The sequence below is a fragment of the Homo sapiens genome, chromosome 7, assembly GCF_000001405.40.
Source record: "Homo sapiens chromosome 7, GRCh38.p14 Primary Assembly".
Classification (NCBI taxonomy): Eukaryota; Metazoa; Chordata; class Mammalia; order Primates; family Hominidae; genus Homo; species Homo sapiens.
Window position 1 is genome coordinate 113,638,470 of NC_000007.14, and position 21,043 is coordinate 113,659,512.

The 21,043-nt window shown below is 35.7% G+C and overlaps 1 long non-coding RNA gene across 1 annotated transcript; it reads right to left on the reverse strand.

The window, feature by feature from the left end:
* Nucleotides 1-1,458: 1,458 nt before the first annotated feature.
* LOC124901814 (uncharacterized) lies at nt 1,459-6,163 on the reverse strand. The gene is made up of 2 exons (XR_007060644.1): nt 6,046-6,163; nt 1,459-4,024 (listed from the first exon to the last, which is right to left on the reverse strand). It is a non-coding gene; the product is annotated as an uncharacterized LOC124901814 (long non-coding RNA).
* Between the last annotated feature and the right edge of the window lie 14,880 nt (nt 6,164-21,043).

Consider the following 21,043-nt stretch of genomic DNA (forward strand, 5'->3'; position numbering starts at 1 on the left):
CTAATATTTATTTATTAATTCCACTTTAGTAACTGTATACTCAGATTCTCCTCCATTGTTTCTTTTCAATCTTCTGGATCTGTCAAGAATAAAAGAGGTGTTTTAAAATCCCCCAGAGCGATCATCTTTCTACAAATTATTCTTTGTATTTCATGGAACTTTTGCTTTATGATTTCAATGCTATTATTCAGTTCACAGAAATTCATGATTTTTATATTGTCATTGAGGATTATAACTCTTCCTGATATAAAATTACATTTCAGCCCCATTTAATGATTTTTTGTTACAAATTTTAATTTACTTGAATTATTTATTATTTTATTTTTAATTGGCAGAAAAATATATATTTATCATGTAAATTCTAATTTATTTGAAATTTAAAGTTACCACCCCGATCTCCTTTTTATTCAAAATAAAGTTGTGAATTATTAAAATGTTTATGCTTTTCTGTCATATTGTTGGTTTTTGTTTGTTTTGTTTTTCTTTTCTAAGTAGTCCTATTTGAATTTTTTTGTATTCAATATCCTTTTGAAAAAACCTTTTAGAGAAGGTTTTCTTAATGTCTCACTAAGAACTTTTATGTTTACTGTCATGGTTGATGTATTTGCCCCTCTCTGACATGTTCATAAAAGCTGTATGTAATGCACTAAGTTTTACTCCTGGATGTATATTAAACCAACACAGGTCACTTGTTTTAGAGCTTCGGAGTTTATTGCTCTCCTGTGAGGCTAGTATTTCTGATATTTTTAAAGAGTTTTAAGTGATTTTAGTATGCAGAGAAAGCTGATAACCACTGATTTAATCAGTATTTAAAAATAGTAAAAACTTATACATAAATAAAAATAAACCTTCCTTTTTAGTAAAAACTCATGCACACAAGATAAATGCCATGTGGTTACACTTCAGAATTCCTGAAGTAGAGGAATGTATTTCTCTTGACCTCGCCCTTATGAGTACAATGGGTACAAACTGTCCTGTTAGGGGCTTTTGCACAGAGAGGTGAGCAAAGGGAGCAGAGTAGGAGAGAACTGATTTACACACAAGAAATTCTGGAGCTTCTGTGTAAGTATCAAAAGTAATAGAGTAGATAAAGAGTGGAATTATATCTACTAGAAGCCAGCATTTACTGAGTGCTAGGAACCAATATGCTTATTAACTTGCATAGAATATTGCATGTACTTTGAACAAAAATCCTATGAATTGGATGTTATTATCTGCAGTTTACATAGGGAGAAACACACATACACAGGTTAAATAACATACTCAAATGTCCTCAGCAGGTAATAGTGGAACCTGAATATTAATTCAACAGTCAGACTCCAGGATATACATTTATAACCCCTGTGCTTCCAGAGGGTAAAAAAAGTGACTAAGTACTAACACAGATTCTTTTCTTCTCTATGTCAGGAGATGTGTATTAGTACATTTTCACACTGCTGATAAAGACATAACTGAGACTGGGAAGAAAAAGAGGTTTAATTGGACTTACAATTCCACATGGCTGGGGAGGCCTCAGAATCATAGCAGGAGGCAAAAGGCACTTCTTACATGGTGGCAGCAAGAGAAAATGAGGAGATCTGGAAGTGGAAACCCCTGATAAAATGATCAGATCTTGTGAAACTTATTCACTACCACGAGAACAGTATGGGGGAAACAGCCAGTATGATTCAAGTTATCTCCCATTGGGTCCCTGGCAATTATGGGAGTACAATTCAAGATGAGATCTGGGTGGAGACACAGAGCCAAATCATACGATTCTGCCCCTGGCCCCTCCAAATATCATGTCCTCACATTTCAAAACCAATCGTGTCTTCCTAACAGTCCCCCAAAGTCTTAACTCATTTCAGCATTAACTCAAAAGTCCACAGACTTATCTGAGACGAGGCAAGTTCCTTCCGCCTATGAGCCTGTAAAATCAAAAGCAAGTTAGTAACATCCTAGACGCAATGGTGGTACAGATATTGGGTAAATACAGTCATTCCAAATGGGAGAAATTGGCCAAAACAAAGTAGCTACCAGCCCCATGCAAGTCCAAAATCCAGCAGTGCAGTCAAGTCTTAAAGTTCCAAAATTATCTCCTTTGACGCCATGTCTCGCATCTGGGTCATGCCGATGTAAGAGGTAGGTTCTTATGGTCTAGGGAAGCTCTGTCCCTGTGGCTTTTCTGGATACAGCATTCCTCTCAGCTGCTTTCACGGGCTGGCATTGAGTGTCTGTGGTTTTCCATGTGCAAGGTGCAAGCTGTCGGTGGATCTACCCTTCTGGGGTCTGGAGAACAGTGGCCCTCTTGTCATAGCTCCACTAGGTGGTGCCACAGTAGGGACTCTGTGTTGGGGCTCTGACCCCACATTTCCCTTCCACATTGCCCTAGCAGAGGTTCTCCATGAGCGCCCTGCTCCTGCAGCAGACTTCTGCCTGGGCATCCAGGCGTTTCCATATATGTTCTGAAATCTAGGCAGAGGTCCCCAAATTTCAATTCTTGACTTCTGTACAATCACAGGCTCAACACTACATGGAAGCTGCCAAGGTTGGGGCTTGCACCCTTTGAAGCCATGGCCTAAGCTCTGCATTGGCCCCTTTCAGCCATGGCTGGAGCAGCTGGGACACAGGGCACCAAGTCCCTAGGCTGCACACAGCACGGAGACCCTCGGACTAGCCCACAAAAAACATTTTCTCCACTGAAACCTCCAGGCCTGGGATAGGAGGGGCTGCTGTGAAGACCTCTGACATGCCTTGGGGAGGGACATTCGGCACCTCAAATATATGCAGCCTCCTAGAATTCTCCTCAGAAAGTGTTTTTTTCTTTTCTATCTCATCATCAGCATGAAAAATTTCCAAACTTTTATGCTGTTTCCCTTTCAAAACTGAATGCTTTAAAAGCACCCAAATCACTCCTTGAATGCTTTGCTGCTTAGAAATTTCTTCCACCAGATACTCTAAATAATCTCTCTCAACTTCAAAGTTCCACAGATCTTTAGAGCAGGGGCAAAATGTTGCCATTCTCTTTGCTAAAACAAAGCAAGAGTCACCTTTGCTCCAGTTCCCAACAAGTTCCTCATCTCCATCTGAGACCACCTCAGCCTGGACCTTATTGTTCATATCACTATCAGCATTTTTGTCAAAGCCATTCAATAAGTCTCTAGGAAGTTCCAAACTTTCCCACATTTTCTTGTCTTCTTCTGAGCCCTCCAAACTGTTCCAACCTCTGCCTGTTATCCAGTTCCAAAATTGATTTAACATTTTTTGGTATCTTTTCAGCAGCGCCCCACTCTACTGGTACCAATTTACTGTATTAGTCCATTTTCACACTGCTAATAAAGATATACCCAAGACTGTGAAGAAAAAGAGGTTTAACTGGACTTACAGTGCCACATGGCTGAGGAGGTCTCAGAATCATGGAGGGAGGCAAAATGCACTTCTTACATGGTGGTGGCAAGAGAAAATGAGGAAAATGTAAAAGTGGAAACCCCTGATAAAACCATCAGATCTTGTGAGACTTACTCACTACCATGAGAACAATATGAGTGAAACCGCCCCCACTATTCAAATTATCTTCTACTGGGTCCCTCCCAGTAGAATTATGGGAGTATAATTCAAGATGAGATTTGGGTGGGGACACAGAGCCTAACCATACCAAGATGGAAAAAGCCTGAGACCTCAAGTTTTTTTTTTTAGTCTCTTTTGCCTCCTCCCCATAGAAGAACCACCACCTCCTTTTTATTTGCCAGCTTTATAGTACTTATCACAATGCTAGTTCATGTATAATTATTGTACATTTTTTGTGGGGGGGTATTGTTTGCCTTCTTATCTAGACTGACAATCCTTGAGGGCAGAATTCATATTTGTGGTTTCCTGCTGGGTTCCCTGCTTCTAGCATAGTGCCTGTCCCATGCAAAACAATGAATTAATATGTGAATACATTCAAACATTCATGTGAGAAGGAAGGAGGAAAAGGAGAAAAAGACAAGAATGGTTTGGAGGAATACCTGTGCAGCTGGGGACCCTTTGTTGCTTTCACTCAAATCTGAAAACAAAAAAAGTGATCCTAAGTGTTGGTAAGAACCTCAAATTTTTATGTTCCATGGTCTTACATGGAGTACAGATATCCTGTAAGTACAGATGTCCTGTTATAATGAAGAGATCATCATAGAAAGGTCATTGAGTCAGACTGAAGTTCAAGATGGCTAAAGTATAAAATTAAGGATATTATATAACAGAAAAATTCATCTTTTAAAAAATCCTTTACTTGAGTGCAAAGACATATGTATACCACTCCACTCTTTAGCATGACTGCCATAGTTCTCAAATAGGATCTGTGTAATCTGGCCTGGTAAGGCCATGCTGGGTAATTTGCACTGATCAATTTGATAAGCGTTAGACACAAAAAAGGACAGAGTTGAATAAATCCATTAAAAAAAAGTTTCTGCTCTCACAGCCCAGACTTTTACAGTGCATGCCATATGGCATTAATATCAATAAGAAAAAAATAATCAAGAAAAATTCTCCATAAATTTTGGAAACTAAAACACTTCTAATTAATGCATTTCTAAATAAAAAAGATGAACAAAGTCAAAAGCTGATTGTGTATATTGACTAATAAAATGTATAAATCATAAAAAAACCTATTAAAATCAAGGGGAAGAAATAAATAATACTAAGAAGAGAAAACAACTGCATATACATATTTTTTTTAAAAATAGAATAGATTGAATACAGTGATGTCAATAAATAAAAAATTTTATATTTCAAATTAAATTTCAGGAAATTAATAGATTTCCTAGGAAAAATATAGGGATTAACTGACTCAAGAAGATTTAATAAAGCCTGATCAGATATGTACTATTATATCAAATCAGCAATCACTGTCACTCATAAAACTGTAGAAGATCCAGGAAGTTTCAAAGTTGAGATTTTACCCAGGCTTCAAAAACAGGTAACTTCAAATATATGCAATTTCTCGTGTAACATATAAAAATAAGAAATGTGTATCAAATCCTTGTTCCGAGCTTAGTATAACTTTCACACACCAAGATAGTACAAGAAAAGAAATATCTAGACCAACCTCTCTTATTAATATATATACAAAAGTTAAGATGAAATATTTGTACCATACATATGACATATTTTTAATGCAGCATAACCATATAGTGTTTATCTTAGCATGAAGAAATGATTTAACAATAGAAAATTTAAAATGTAATTTGCCATATTAATAGATAGGATAGAATAGGAGGGAAACAGATTTGGAGAAAAATATAATTATCTTACTACCCACAGCAAAAGCACTTGATAAAATATAAAACTAATTAATTATATATTTTTAGCTTTAGTCTCAAAAAGGGTATCTCCCTAAACGTTACAAAATTTCACAGTTAATGGACAAGCATTATGATCAGGAATAGGGATATCCACTACCTCTTTATCATTTCAATATTTTTTAGTAGTCCCAATCAGTCCAATAAAACATAAAGAATATATAAAACAGGTAAATATGGTAGACAATTTCTGGATGACACAATTATAATCTCAGTTAAACTATTTGAACTATTTAAAGACTTCAGAAATATAGCTGGACACAAAGTTATGGAAAAATAAATAGCATTCTTGTATATTAATGGTAGCATTTCTAAATTTTCAATAATTGGAAAAACCAATTTTAGAACAATGACTGTCATAATGTTTATAAAGTTATAAAGTTCAAAATTATCAAAAGATAATTTTGAAGAAAAAAGTTGGGATATAAATCTACCACATATAAATATTTATTACAAAGCTGTAGTAATTAAGATAATGCAAAAATGGTACAAAAGAACAGAGTACAGAACTGAGAAGAAAACTCACATTTTATGGAAACATAGTACATTAAAAATATGGGGCCTGGCACAGTGGCTCAATGCTTGTAATCCCAGCACTTCAGGAGGCCAAGGCAGGCAGATTGCTTGAGCCCTGGAGTGTGAGACCAGCCTGGTCAAAACCCCGTCTGATGACAAAACCCCATCTCTCCTAAAAATACAAAATAAAATAGCCAGGTGTGGTGGCATGTACCTGTAGTCCCTGCTACTCCAAAGGCTGAGGTGGGAGGATCACCTGGGCCAGTGAGATGGAGGTTGCAATGAGCCAAGATCACAGCACTGCACTCCAGCCTGGATGAGAAAGAGAGACCCTGTTCAAAAAAGAGTATATATATATTAGCCTGTACTCACACTGCTAATAAAGACACACCTGAGACTGGGTAATTTATAAGGAAAGAGATTTAATATACTCACAGTTCCACATGGCTGTGGAGGCCTCACAATCATGGTGGAAAACAAAGGAGACACAAAGGCACATCTTACATGGTGGCAGGCAAGACAGCTTGTGCAGGGGAACTCCCATTTATAAAACCATCAGATCTTCTGAGACTCATTCACTACCACAAGAACAGTATTGGGGAAACCGCCCCCATGATTCATTTATCTCCACTTGGCCCAGCTCTTGATACATGGGGATTATTACAATTCAAGGTGAGATTTAGGTGGGACACAGCCAAACCATATCATTCTACCCAAGCCCCTCCCAAATCTCATGTTCTCACATTTCAAAATGAATCATGCCTTCCCAACAGTCCCCAAAAGTCTTAATTCATTTCACCATTAACTCAAAAGTCCACAGTCCAAAGTCTCATCTGAGAAAAGGTAAGTCCCTTCCACCTATGAGCCTGTAAGATGAAAAGTAAGTTAGTTACTTCCTAGATATAATGGTTGTACAGGCATTGGGTAAATACACCCATTCCAAATAGGAGAAATTAGCCAAAACAAAGGGGCTACAGGCCCCTTGTAAGTCCAAAATACAATGGAGCAGTCAAATTGTAAAGCTCTGAAATTATTTCCTTTGACTCCATGTCTCACATCCAGGTCATGCTGATGCAAGAGGTGGGCTACCATGGCCTTGGACAGCTCCATCCCTGTGGCTTTGTAGGGTACAGCCCCACTCCTGCTACTTTCATGGCTGGCATTAAGTGTCTGCAGCTTTTCCATGAGCACAGTGCAAGCTATTGGTGGATCTGAACCATTCTGAAGTCTGGAGGACAGTGACCCTCTTCTTACAGCTCCAGTAGGCAGTGCCCCACTGGGGACACTGTGGGGGCTCCAACCTCACATTTCCATTCTGCACTGCCCTAGCAGAGGTTCTCTATTAGGGCTCTGCCCTTGTAACAGACTTTGGCCTGGACATCCAGGCATTCCCATACAACTTCTGAAATCTAGGCACAGGTTCTTAAACCTAAATTCATGATTTTTGTGCACTGGAAGGCACAACATCATGTGAAATCCACCAAGGCTTGGGGCTTGCACCCTCTGAAGCAACAACCTGAGCTCTACATTGGCCCCTTTTAGCCATGGCTGGGACACAGAACACCAAGTCCTGAGACTGCACAAAGCAGCAAGGCCCTGGGCCTAGCCCATGAAACTATTTTTTCCTCCTAGACATCCAGGCCTGTGATGGGAGGGGCTGGCATGAAGACCTCTGGCATGCCCTGGAGACATATTTCCCATTGTCTTAGGGATTAACATTTGGCTCCTCTTTATTTATGCACATTTCTGCAGCCAGCTTGAATTTCTCTTCAAAATTTATTTTTCTTTTCTATCACATCATTAGGCTGTGTATTTTCCAAATTTTTATGTGCTGCTTCCCTTTGAATGCTTTGCCACTTAGCAATTTCTGCTGCCAGATACCATTAATCATCTCTCTCAAGTTCAAAGTTCCATAGATATCTAGGGCAGGGGCAAAATGCTGCCAGTCTCTGCATAGCAAGACTGACCTTTACTCCAGTTCCCAGCAAGTTCCTCATCTCCATCTGAGACCACCTCAGCCTGGACTTTATTGCTCATATCACTATCAGCATTTTGGCCAAAGCCATTCAACAAGTCTCTAGGAACTTCCAAATTTTCTCACATCTTTCTGTCTTCTGAGCACTCCAAGTCTCTAGGAAGTTCCAAAGTGTCCCACATTTTTCTATCTTCTTCTGAACCCTCCAAACAGTTCCCGCCTCTGCCTGTTATCCACATCTTTACAGCAGCTCCCCACTTCTGGTAAAAAAAAATCTGTATTAGTCAGGGTTCTCTAAAGGGACAGGACTAATAGGATAGATGTATATATAAAAAGGAGTTTATTAAGGAGTATTGACTTACAGGATCACAAGGTGAAGTCCCAAAATAGGCCATCTGCAAACTGAGGAACCAGGAAGCCAGTCTGAGTCCTAAAACCTGGAAAGTAGTAAGCTGAAAGTGCAGCTTTCAGTCTGTGGCCAAAGGCCTAAGAGCCCTTGACAAACCACTGGTGTAGGTACAAGAGTCCAAAAACCGAAAAACTTGGGAGTCCGATGTTCGAGGGCAGGAAGCATCCAGCATAGGAGAAAGATGGAGGCCAGACGACTCAACCAGTCTGCTCTTTCCATGCCTGCTTTTATGCTGGCAGCTGATTAGATGGTGCCCACCCAGATTGAGGGTGGGTCTGCCTCTCCTGTCTACTGATTCAAATGTTAATCTCCTCACAGACACACCCAGGAACCATACTTTGCATTGTCCAATCCAATCAAGTTGACACTCAATATTAACCATCACTATATAAAAATCAGTAAGAAAGAGATACTTTACTTAAAAATTTTTGTTTAGATAATTGGAAAAAATAATTTAGACTCCTACTTCACCCAAAAATAAATTTGAGATGAACATAATTAGGATAATCACATAATATATTGCTTAAACCAGGAATGTTTTTAGTGAGAGTACTAAAAATAATTAAAACTATTTAAGTTTGATATAATTATTTGTAAATACTTGTTTTAAATTATTTTAGTACATTGGTGATTGACAATTTAGTTTTATACGAAAATATTTTCAAAAGTAAAATTCACTCCAAAAATAAAAATAGCATATATTCATGTATTAAGCAGAAAAGTCTTTATATAAATTATCTTAACTGTAACACAAAAGAGAAACAGAATGATTATATTTTGATATTTACATATGTTAACTTTTTTACCTTATAGGTGTCTAAAGCTGTATCATAGGTGCTATTATTCTTTTAAAATGTAATTCTAGTGTTTTTAATTTTTAATTCCCCTTTCTTAAAATTGTCTGCAACATATTTCAAAGTTGTATTCTGGGGATAGTTCTCTATACACAATAGTATTCGTATTAAAAATACTTTCTGGCAAGGTCAGAATGAACTAAATTCACTCAATTATCTCTCTTTTGCTTTCTTCCTTTTTTTTTGTACTACAATATTTTAACCACAGAATTTTGGGGGTGGTTTTTACCTCCCTTTGGAGGCTGTTTGTTTGCCAAATATTTTATGTAAAACAATGAAATTAGTTGCTTTAACTTAAGAATACTTTAAATTTTTAGCAAACTGAGATGTTGCAGAATTATGTCTTATCAATTTTACTCCATTCCCAGAGAGTATAAATATATTTAATTAAATTAGAAGAGCCATCAAAACATTCTTCCCATAAAATAAGAAAATGATATTTCAAAATTAAATCTTGTATACCATTTGAGGTGTCATTTATACTGTTCCTCTGTAGATTTTATAAAGACAAGCTTGTTTGCAAGCACTGTTTTTAAAAGTTTCAGTTTGCCAAAATTCACAAATCCTGAACTAGTTTAGTACTCTTTTTGTAGAATACATGGATTAAAAATTTCCAAAATGATTTTGAATAAAATATTAGCAAACTTTACAAGACAAATTTATAAAAGACAAATTTGTTAAAGTTGAATATGTTTATAGGACATCTAGTCAGATTTACACAGTAGATATTCAAAGGGTTAAATACTTATCTATTTGGTGATGATTAGCAAAGATACAAATCATGCATCTCACAGGCTATAACACAACTAGCAACAGAGTATAACACTTTTATAACACAAAACACTACAAGGAGTTAGTTTTCCCTGGTTCCTTATGTCAGAGAGCACTTCATTGCTAGGATATCCTTAAAAAAGGAGAACTGGTAACACTGCATGTAGAAAGGACTAAGAAAAGAAAGAAGAATTATGATTGGCCATCTTTCAGATTTATCATGGCTTAAAGTTGAGCTCTGTATATTATACTAGAAGATACTAGACAAAGCACTGACAGAAGGTGAAAATTTAAAGAGGGGGCCTGCTGAAGAAATAATGAGTTATTCTAATGAAACTATTAATCATAATACTTCATTATGTAATAAAAAATCTGGGAAAATTCTAAAACATTTGGAACCCTGTTAGGCAGAATGGGACATATGGTCTCCCTAAAGATCTAAATATGTAAAACACAAACTTAAAATCTTTAGAAAAAATGTAGAAAAATATCTATTACTTTGGAGTAGAGACAAATAAATCAAAAAAGAGAAAAAAGCACAAAGTATAAAGAAAATTACTGACAAAAATAAATAAAACAGACCCAATGAAGACGGTGAAAAGAGAAGACACAGACAGCAGAAAGATATTTTCAAAATATATAACAGATAAATTTGGAGTATCCAGGTCATATGAAAACTCCTGCATTCTACATGAAAAACACACAAACATCCCAATTTAAAATGGAATATATATATGTATATCTGTATGTGTATATATGTAGATATTTATGCATATATGTAGTTCTCATTTTTGTATATGTGAATTACAGAGTAAACATCAATGTCAACTAAATATGTGGAAAGATATTCAAATTCACTCATGGTGAGTGCATATTTCTAAAAGTCTGACAATACAAAGTATTGTGAAGGTATGAGTAAAGAGGATTTCTCACATGTAAAATGGTATTACTTTGAGCATAATTTGAAAATATCAATAAAATTGAAAAAGTACCTAATCAGCAATCTAGCATTTCTTCTTCTAAGCATATACCCTAAAGAATCTTTCAGGCGAGTACACAGAGATAAGTACAAACGTGCATTCTATCATTAATTATAATAAGAAATAACTGGAAACAATCTAAATATCTTTTAATCAAAAAATTGATACATAAATTGTGGTTTATTTATAGGGCATAAAACCACATCACTGCAAAGGTTATTACATTTGATTTATACATATATCAATACTACATTATTACAAAAGCAGCATTTATACCACATAAAATGTTTTAAAATTCATTCATGTTAGCACATATAAATCGAGTTCTTTCATTTTAGCTGCTGTAGGATTTCCATAATTATGTAATTTGCATTTTCCACTCAATATTGTTTTAAGATGATATGTAAATCATGATATATTCTGTAGAATTTTAAAACACATAAACCAGTTTTCTACTATTGTGAAAGATGAAAACATATTTGGTAACCTTAGAAACCAAACAGGCATGATACTTTTCAGGATTGTGGCAGAAATTAGAAAGGAAAGTGAGAGAATGAAATGGGAGAGGGGTACAAAGTGTCATGAGCTCAGTCTATAATGTTTTCTTTCTTAAAAAAATAAAATAAGGGGAAGAGGAAGAGATTTGAAGCAAATATGACAAAAATCTGTTCAATCTGGATGGTAGGTATTGACAAAGATTCTCTGCTTAAACAAACTTTAGTCAGGATCCTGACCCTTCTCCTAGGCCCATCTGTGCACTTCCTTGTAGAATGCAAATTTTAGCAAAGAGCCATACTAAGTCAGTTTAGTATGAAACCCCCACTCTTAGTATCCAATCACCATCAGTATTTGATTGGGTTTCTCATCCTCCACCATCCCCCAGGTGATGTCTGATTACCCTGGCCTGTCTTCAGCAAAGTTGGCTTACCCAGAATCTCCCTTACCCATGATGTCTCCTTTTAGTAATTTTCCAACCACTGACCCCCCTCCTGCTCCTTGACTATAAGTTCCCACTTGCTCATGCTTTATTTGGAGTTGGGACAAATCTCTCTCCCACACTGCAAAATCCTATTCTGGTGGTCCCTATACAGATCACAGTGGTCCAGAATTAACTCTTTCTTACCATGCTTTACCAAGTATCATTGAATAATTTTTTCTTTAACAGTACATAGGTGTTTTATTATTCTCTGTGTTTTTCCGAATGTTTGAAATATTTCATTGTGTTTCAAACATTTTCGTATGAAAAATTTTTATTACTCAAATCAAGAATAAAACTATATATTCTGACATCTCCCTATGTAATAGGATATTAGTGTTCCCTTTTTAAGAAATATCTGCCCTTCGACCATTTTTAACATTGGGCTTTGTTTTAAATACTGAATTTCGGATTGCACTTATTCTTATAAAGTAATAATTTTACATCTTGAGGTTTCTTTTCCAAAACAGTTTTTAAAAATATTTGCACAATTGCCTCACTGTTTAAATGGTCTTCATGAATGTTGCTAACAATTTTATACCTTGCTTCTCATTCATCAGTTCTTAATTTTGATATGTTTCATGAATGGCTGGTAAATTTTTCAAATAATTCTATTTTCAGAAATAATACAAGGTTTCTACAATTTCTAAGTCCTTGCATTTATAAGAGTATATTTCTATTTCTGTCTTACATGAACAGCAACATGGCTAGACATATAATTCAGGGGTTAGGCTGTTTTCTCCTCAAAATGCTATACAGTTGACCATCATTTACTAACCTTTAGGAATACAGAGAAGTGTTAAGCCAGTTTAATTTTTGTTTATTAAAGACTCTTAGTTTGTCTTCTGCTGCAAGCTTATAGTTTATGTTCTGTTATTTTGCAATTCAAGAAAGTTTTCCAGGATTGGCATTAATTTCTTTTATCATTAATTTTGCTTAGACCGTGGTGAACTTTTTGATGGGTATAATTTGCTCTGTTTCATCTTCAGGATGTTTCCTCCATTTATATTTCACATGTTTAAATGTATTCCATTTAAGTGTTTTGGTTTCTTCCTTAGGAACATAAATATTTAATTTAATATTAAATTTCCATTGTATTGTCTTTCCATGGAGAATATTGTTTATTACCATTTTAACTCATTATCTTATTTTATCCATCTCTGAGCTTTCCACGTTTCTACTCCATATTACTTGATTTGTTTTCTCTAATGTCAGTATTATATCTTACTTCCACAGCAGCTTTTAATTTTGAGATTGCATTTTTGTATCTGTGATACTTTGTCTTACCTGAACAAACCTCATATTCATTTAAGCCTTTGCAGCCATACCCAGCTCTCCAAGTTTTCTAACAAAGCAAATGTTGGGAATAGTTTTATTTCTGCTTAATCTCCATTTGGTTGCTATTAGCATCATTATCTGACACCTCCACCCCTGGCATGGAATCGAGAATATTTGGTGATGTTATCTTTACCCAAATTTCCCAATGCCTAGTGGCACTCACTGTTATACTCTGATTGACCAGATAGAATCTTCTCCTGTTCTCATGACAAGGATCTCAGGCACTTTCAGTCAGTGCAGTAGGTAAAAATCTAATATTCCCATAATTCCTTACTGTTGCCAGGTTTTTGTCTCTTCCCTCATAAGTACACAACTTATTCAAAGGTGCAATATGCCATTTTTAGCAAATTCCTCCACTATTTATTGGAAAATATAATATTAGAACATAGAAAGGTAAGTAACAGTGGGGGAAGAATAAACTGGGTTCTCCTGGAAGAAGTACTCATGCAGTTTTAAACAGGCTGGTCAATCATCACTGTTTAAAATAAACCTACCCAAATATGTCTATTGTGAGATAGAATCCAGAGAAAAAAGAATAGCTAAAATTTCCTTCTATCTACTTCTTGGGTAACAGACTGCTATGTCTCAGAGAATGTGTAAGTTAAATTTATGCCTCTCAATGAACTCTTTGATATTGTTTTTAAGCATCTTTATTGAAATATAGCTGATATACAAAGAACTGTACCAATTTAAAGTACATAATTTGATGAGTTTTTATGTGTGCAAACACCCATAATGCCATCACCACAATCAAGGAAATAGATCTAACATGTTCCAAAGTTCTCATGTCCCTTTGTTTTGTTGTGGTTGGTTTGGCTTGCTTGTTTAGTTTGTTGTTGTTATTGTTGTTATTTTGGTGAGAACACTTAACATGAGATCTATACTTAACAAATTTTGAAGTGCACAATGCTGTATTATTAACTATAAACACTATGCTGTACAGCAGTTCTCTCAAACCTGTTCATCTGGCATAACTGAAACTTCATATTCACTGAACACCAACTCCCCATTTCCCTATCCCCAACTCCTGGCAACCACTAATTTATTCTCTGTTTCTCTGAGTTTGACTATTGTACATTACTCATGTAAGTGGAATCCTCTGTTGTAAGTCTGACCTGAGGTGCTTTGGTATTTGTATTAGTCCATTTTCACACTGCCATAAATAACTGCTTGAGACTGGGCAATTTGTAAAGGAAAGAGGTTTAATTGACTCACAGTTCAGTATGGCCTCAGGAAAATTACAATCATGGCAGAAGGCAAAAGGGACGCAAGGCACCTTCTTCACAAGGTGGCAGGAAGGAGAATGAATGTAGAAGGAACTACTACCATGCACTTATAAAACCCTAAGATCTCCTGAGAACTCACTATCACAAGAACAGCACAGGGGAAATTCCCCCCATTATTCAATTACCTCCCCCTGGTCTCTTCCTTGACACGTGGGGATTCAGAGGATTATCAGGATTAAGGGGATTACAGTTCAAGAGGAGATTTTGGGTAGGAAAACAGCCAAACTATATCAGTATTCTTTATTAATAGAAGTCACTTCTGGATTTTAACATGAACTTGCCTGTCCAGCCTTTGTTTTTGGTTCTATTCTTTTTCACTTTTTTCTATAAGTTCACAGAAACCTTTGGGAGAGCCGATGTAGGGGCCTAGTAATTTGACTCCTGCTCAAACAATAAATCCAAATTATTAACTAGTAAACTAATTTGCATATGCTTTAAAAAAATAACTGATATATTTTAAAAGTAAACTGGTCCAAAAGCAGAATTTTAAATAATTTCTACAAAGCAGATATATCCTCTCTGCTTGTATGTTCAAATCATGATCAAACTATGCTTTTGTTTCTGTAACTCCAGATATTTGAAATTGTAGAAAAAAAATTGATGAAAATCTGTGAAAATTTCAAATTCAAATTTATTAAAATAATGTAGGTGTTTAAACATATTAGTAATAAGCATTGATATGCTTTGCTATGTCCCCACCCAAATCTCATCTTGAATTATAATCCCCACAATCCCCAGGGTCATATGAGGGACCCAGTGGAAGGTAATTGAATCATGGAGGCAATTTCCCTCATGCTGTTCTCCTGATAGTGAGTGAGTTCTCATGAGATTTGATGGTTTTATAAGCATCTGGCATCTCCTCTGCTGGCACTCATTCTTTCTCCTGTTGCCCTGTGAATAGGTGCCTTCCACCACGATTGTAAGTTTCCTGAGGCTTCCCCAGCCATGCGGAACTGTGAGTCAATTAAACCTCCTTTCTTTATAAATTACCCAGTCTCAGAAATTTCCTTATACCAATGTGAGAACAGAGTAATACAGGCATTATATCAATAGGTATGGTCATATCATGATATAGATTCTATTACAAATGATATACATATATACACACACATATATATATACACACACTCTTAACTACATACTCATGAGAATTTTACAATTCAACTTTTCAAATTTATTAAGCAAACATTTAATATACCCTATGTGCTCTGAGAACTGAAAAGATGAAAGAGATAAAGTAGATAATTAGAAGTTTTTAATATTTTTACTACTGTGAGAAATGATGAAAAGAAGGAATGCAGTTTCCATTCACTAAGTCATTTTGTTTGCAAATATTTGATGCCTATAGTGTGCCAAGTACTGTGCTAGCACTGTACCTGGTACACAGTGGGAAGAAAATATAGTCGCTCCCATCATGGGGGAGGAATGGGACTGGGAAGGAGGGAAAGGCACATATTGAGAGTCATCAGAGAAGTGTTACTACTAAGATGATATATAAAAGATGTAAAAACCCAGCAGAAGAGAAAGACTCTGATTTAAGGAAAAGCATAGCATAGCATAGGAGTCAAATGCAGCCTAAAGAGTAGGGATTGGGAGAGTCATAGTGGATGCAGTTGAAAAAGCAGCAGGAGTCAGACCATACATGGCCACATAGGCCAAGAGAAAGATGCTGGCATTCTTCTTAAAGTGTAATAGGAAGCCATTGAAGAATTTTAAGCAAGTAATGAGATGTATTTTGTAGTATAGCAGAGGGATACTTTAAAAAAAACTATAACGTAGATATGCATAGGTTTAAAAGGTAAGATGGACTATTTCACAGAAAACTAGAAACTGTAAGAATCCAGAAGGAGAGTGTAGAATTGAAAAACACAAAAATTAAAATAAGATTAGACAAAGCTGAGAAGGGAAGTAGTCAACAAAGCATAAATCAGAAGAACATTTCCAGATCGAAGCACAGAGACAAAAAGATGAAAAAATAATGAAGGAGCGTATGACACACATAAGATACCTAAATTTGAAGAAGAGAGGAGACAGTTCTGTAGGAGAAGCAACATTTGAAAAGATGGCAGCAAAGAATTGTTTGGGTGATGTTTCAAACTAAAGACATCAGATCACAGATAACAAAGCCCTAACTAGGGTGAATCTTAAAAATATCACATCCAAGCACGTTACTGTGAATCTGCTGAAAATAAAAGGCAAAGAATAAATCTATAAAGCAGCCAATTCTGGTAATAATAAAATCATATCACCTGCAAAGATACAACAAGATTGATAGTTAATTTTTCACAGAAAAACACAAATGAAGTCAATGGTAACAAAATGATATCTCTAAATGTGGAAAGAAAATGATTGCCAACCTAAAAGTAAAGATTGCCATCCAAATGAAAGGAAAATGAAGACGTTTTCAAAAATGAAAACAGAGTATTCCTGAGCATCAGTCCCACATTAAATGGCAGGTTTCAAGGTGAAGGAAAAAGGTAACAGAAGTTCAGAGATATGGGAAGGAATGAAGAGTAATGGGAAGGGAAAATAAATAGGCAAACACATAATCAAGAAAAGGTGAATGTCTAGAAAACTGAAAAAAGCACTAATCACAGTGACCACAACATATAACCCACACATGTTGTAATCTCTGGAGAGCCTACTAAAAAATCATAGAAGTATAAAACTAGAAAACTAATGGAAAGCAAACTTGGAATAAAAAAAGTGTTTAATCTATCAAAAAGCAGACAAGAAAAAAGACAAGTGAAAAAAAATAAATCAGTTAGAAAACAAAAGGTAAAATTGTAAATTTAAAAACGAAAGCAGTAGTAATCTTAATAAAATTACATATTTTTAAGTACTTAAAAATACTTTTGAGGTGCCATTTAAGAAGCTAATAATCTATTTCTTAATAGGTTGTGGTTTCTCAATTTGTCTATTCATTTTGTTATGTTTTATAAAACTTTTTGTATAACTTAATGTTATCTTTAAAATATATTTATTAAAATTGTAGAAGAAATTGAATAATCCCTCTGCAGTTTACTGGAGAGTTGGATTTTTTTTTAAACCCAACTATTTATTGGTTAGAAGAGGCAATCTTATCTTGGGATAGTTGTGTTATCACTGAAATTGAATACATAGCTCAGAAACATCACATATACAAGGAAATTTGGTTTATGATGAAAGTGGTACTGCAAGGAAGTATAGAGTCTTTAATTATTGGTGTTGCATCAGTTGGACATTGGCATGACAGGAAAACAGTTGACTCCCCCCTTCTCACATCATATACAAAAGTCAATTCTTAGCTGATTGTAGATCTGGATATGAAAGGAAAAGCAAAATATCTTCTAGATGATAATATAGAAGACTATCTTAATCACTGTAGTACTTGGCAAACATATCCTACATTTAACTACATTAAAATTAAGAATGTCCTCAGAGGACATCAATAAAGGCACTTATTGATACACCACTGAGTGAAACAAGATTGTTGAAGCACATAAAGCTCACAAAAGGCTCTAATCAGAATATATAAAGAATGCCACATTTACAAAATTATAGACAATTTCATCTCTCAAAAATAGGTAAGTAACACGAGTAGGTATTTCAAAAATGATGTGATATATACAAATGGCCAATAAACTTTTTACCCAATTCTTGATGATGGGATTGGATTAAAAAAATGCTGCTACATACAAAATGACTAAAATTCAAAACATCTACAACATTGAGTGTTGGCAAGGCAGTGGAGCAACTGGAATTCTCAGACATTGGTGATACAAGTGTAAACTGGTGCAGTCACTTTGGAAAACTGGCTATATCTGCTGAAGTTAACACATCCCACCCACAGCCCATCCTACCTTTTCACCCTGCAAATCTGCTTCTGGGTATATATGCACAGAAGATAAATGTATATGCACAAAATACTTGTACAGAATGTTTAAAGCAGCATTATTTGCTATAGTCCCAAACTAAAGACAGCCCAAATGGCTGTCAGCAGTAGCAAGGAAAAAGTACTTTTGGGGGCCTTCTAAGAAGCTAATAATATTCTATTACTTGATAGGTTGTGGTTGCTCAATGTGTCTATTCGTTTTGTTATGTTTTCTAAAACTTTTTGTATAAATTAGTGTTATCTTTAAAATATATTTCTTTAAATTTTAGAAGAAATTGCAATAATCCCTCTGCAGGTTACTGAAGAATTGGACTAATTTTTTATCAGTGGAGATGGAAAGGAGAGACTGGGTTTTGAGACTATATTTTATACAAAAAAATAGAAGCTACAAGAGGCGTCCCTGGATTGCACGAGGGAGAGGGGAAATAATGTAAATTTTGTTTCTTAGTTTTAATAGTATTAACCATAACATTGTCCACTTACTTTCAGACAAAAGAGAAAAATGTTATTCTGTGTCAGTAGTCATTTCTCCACTTCTAAATAGAGTTAAGGTTTTAGAGAACTCCTAAAGTATATATTTTTCATTTTAGTGCATTTTAACTTTGTTTTATAATAATATATTATTCTCCTTGGTATAGGTGAGATTGAAAAAGAGGCAGCAAGATATAATTAGAGAAGCCTCCCTTTCAGCAGTTCACACTAGAACTCAGAAAGAATGTCCCAGATATTACACAGAAAATCAAGGGAAGTTTCAAATCAGTTTTCACATTCAAAACTACCAGGAAGTTTACATAAGCTTTAGGATGACCTTAAATTTCAATTTAAATAATTCCAACTGTAAAAAAAAATAAAAATAAAAAGAGATTTAAAGTTGTTCACTTTACCTCTTAATGAAAGTGACTGTGATAAAAGAGACTAGGTAGAATTTTTGAAACCAGAAACTGAAACATTGATTTGTATGTCAAGGGAGATGAGAGGGCTGTTTCTCAACCACTTTAACATACCACTCTCAAATTTCCTGTGAGACCCTTAGCCGATCATGTCAAAATGGAATTGTTTTTCTTTCACTTTCACAAGGTACTTATGGGCTACTCAAAATACATTCTAACATCCTGTACAGCAGATTTCCAGTCCCATTGCAGTGGCAGTAATGATGGAAGGACCAGAAGGGGAGCCTGAGATCAGTGCATTTGGTGAACTGTATGTTGTGTTCCAGATTGGTGTCTCAGGAGAGGAACAATATCCAGGATTGATTCTTAGACTTACATAATATGCCCTGCAATATTTAGGAAAGGATGACACTCTGTATAGGATTGGAGAAGCAACTGGAAGACTGAGCATATGAGCTAGTAAGAGTATGTCTGCCATGGTTGGAGAAGGCAGGAACAACTCATTTTCACCAATATAAATATAGAATCTGGAAGGTGTGCTGAGAAAAATGTCCCATCCTATGCAGTTCTAGATTACTAAAATCTTCAGAAATGAAAGGAAAGAAACTATGTGATAGATATAGCACTTCTGGGTAAAAAAAAGAAATGTTTAATGTCATTTGAATTTTTATCCTAAGAAAGCAAATGAGACTCTCACAAAGAAGATGCTGCTGCTCCTTGTAATTTTTAAAAAATATATCATTTGGTGGCATGTGTTTAAATATGTTTAATAAAGAAACCTTAATTCATTGAATAAATATTGACCTTTGCTCTTCAAAAGGTTTAAGAGAAGCATTATATTAGTCCATTCTCTCATTGCTATAAAGAAATGCCTGATACTGGGTAATTTATAAAGAAAAGATGTTTAATTGGCTCACAGTTCCACAGACTGTACAGGAAACATGGCTGGAGAGGCCTCAGGAAATTTTCAATCATAGCGGAAGGCAAAGAGAAAGCAGACATGTCTTACATGGCCAGAGCAGGCAAAAGAGAGAGAGGGGGATGTGTCACGCACATTTTTTTGTTGTTGTTGTTCTTTGCTTGTTTGTTTGGAGACAGTGTCTTGCTGTATCAATCAGTCTGGAGTGCAGTGGCGGATCTCACCTCACCACAACCTCCGCCTCCCAGGTTCAACAGATTCTCCTGCTTCAGGCTCCCCAATAGCTGGGATTACAGGCACCCGCCACCACGCCTGGCTAATTTTTGTGTTTTTAGTAAAGATGGGGTTTTGCCATGTTGCTCAAGCTGGTCTCGAACTCTTGGCCTCAGGTGATCCACCTGCCTTGGCCTCCCAAAATACTGAGATTCCAGGCATGAGCCACTGTACCCGGCTATGTGCCACACACTTTTAAACAACCAGATCTCCCAAGCATTCACTCACCATCATGAGAGAAGCACCCTGAGGGAAATCGGCCCCCATGAGCCAATCATCTCCCACAGGCCCCAACTCCAACATTGGGAATAACAATTCAACATGAGACTTTTAGGGGAACACAGACTTAAACAATATCAAGCATAAAACACTTTCTCCTTAATCTTAAGGTTTTAAGTATGATGACAAACGTAAATCAAGATAATATTTAGGGTGAAGGTTTTGATGCTGATGTTAATTTTTGTATTTTTTAAATTTATGTGAATGGCATGGTTATATATTTCTACTGTTGGCAAAATTAAGTTATTTTCTCTGTGAATATTTGAAAACCACTGATACTCTCGTTTTAAATGATAGTATGGTGTAAAACAGGAATGATTACTCAATTTTGATTTGAAATATGTCTATGCCCTACAGATTTTGGATGTCATAAAGGAGAAATAAGAAT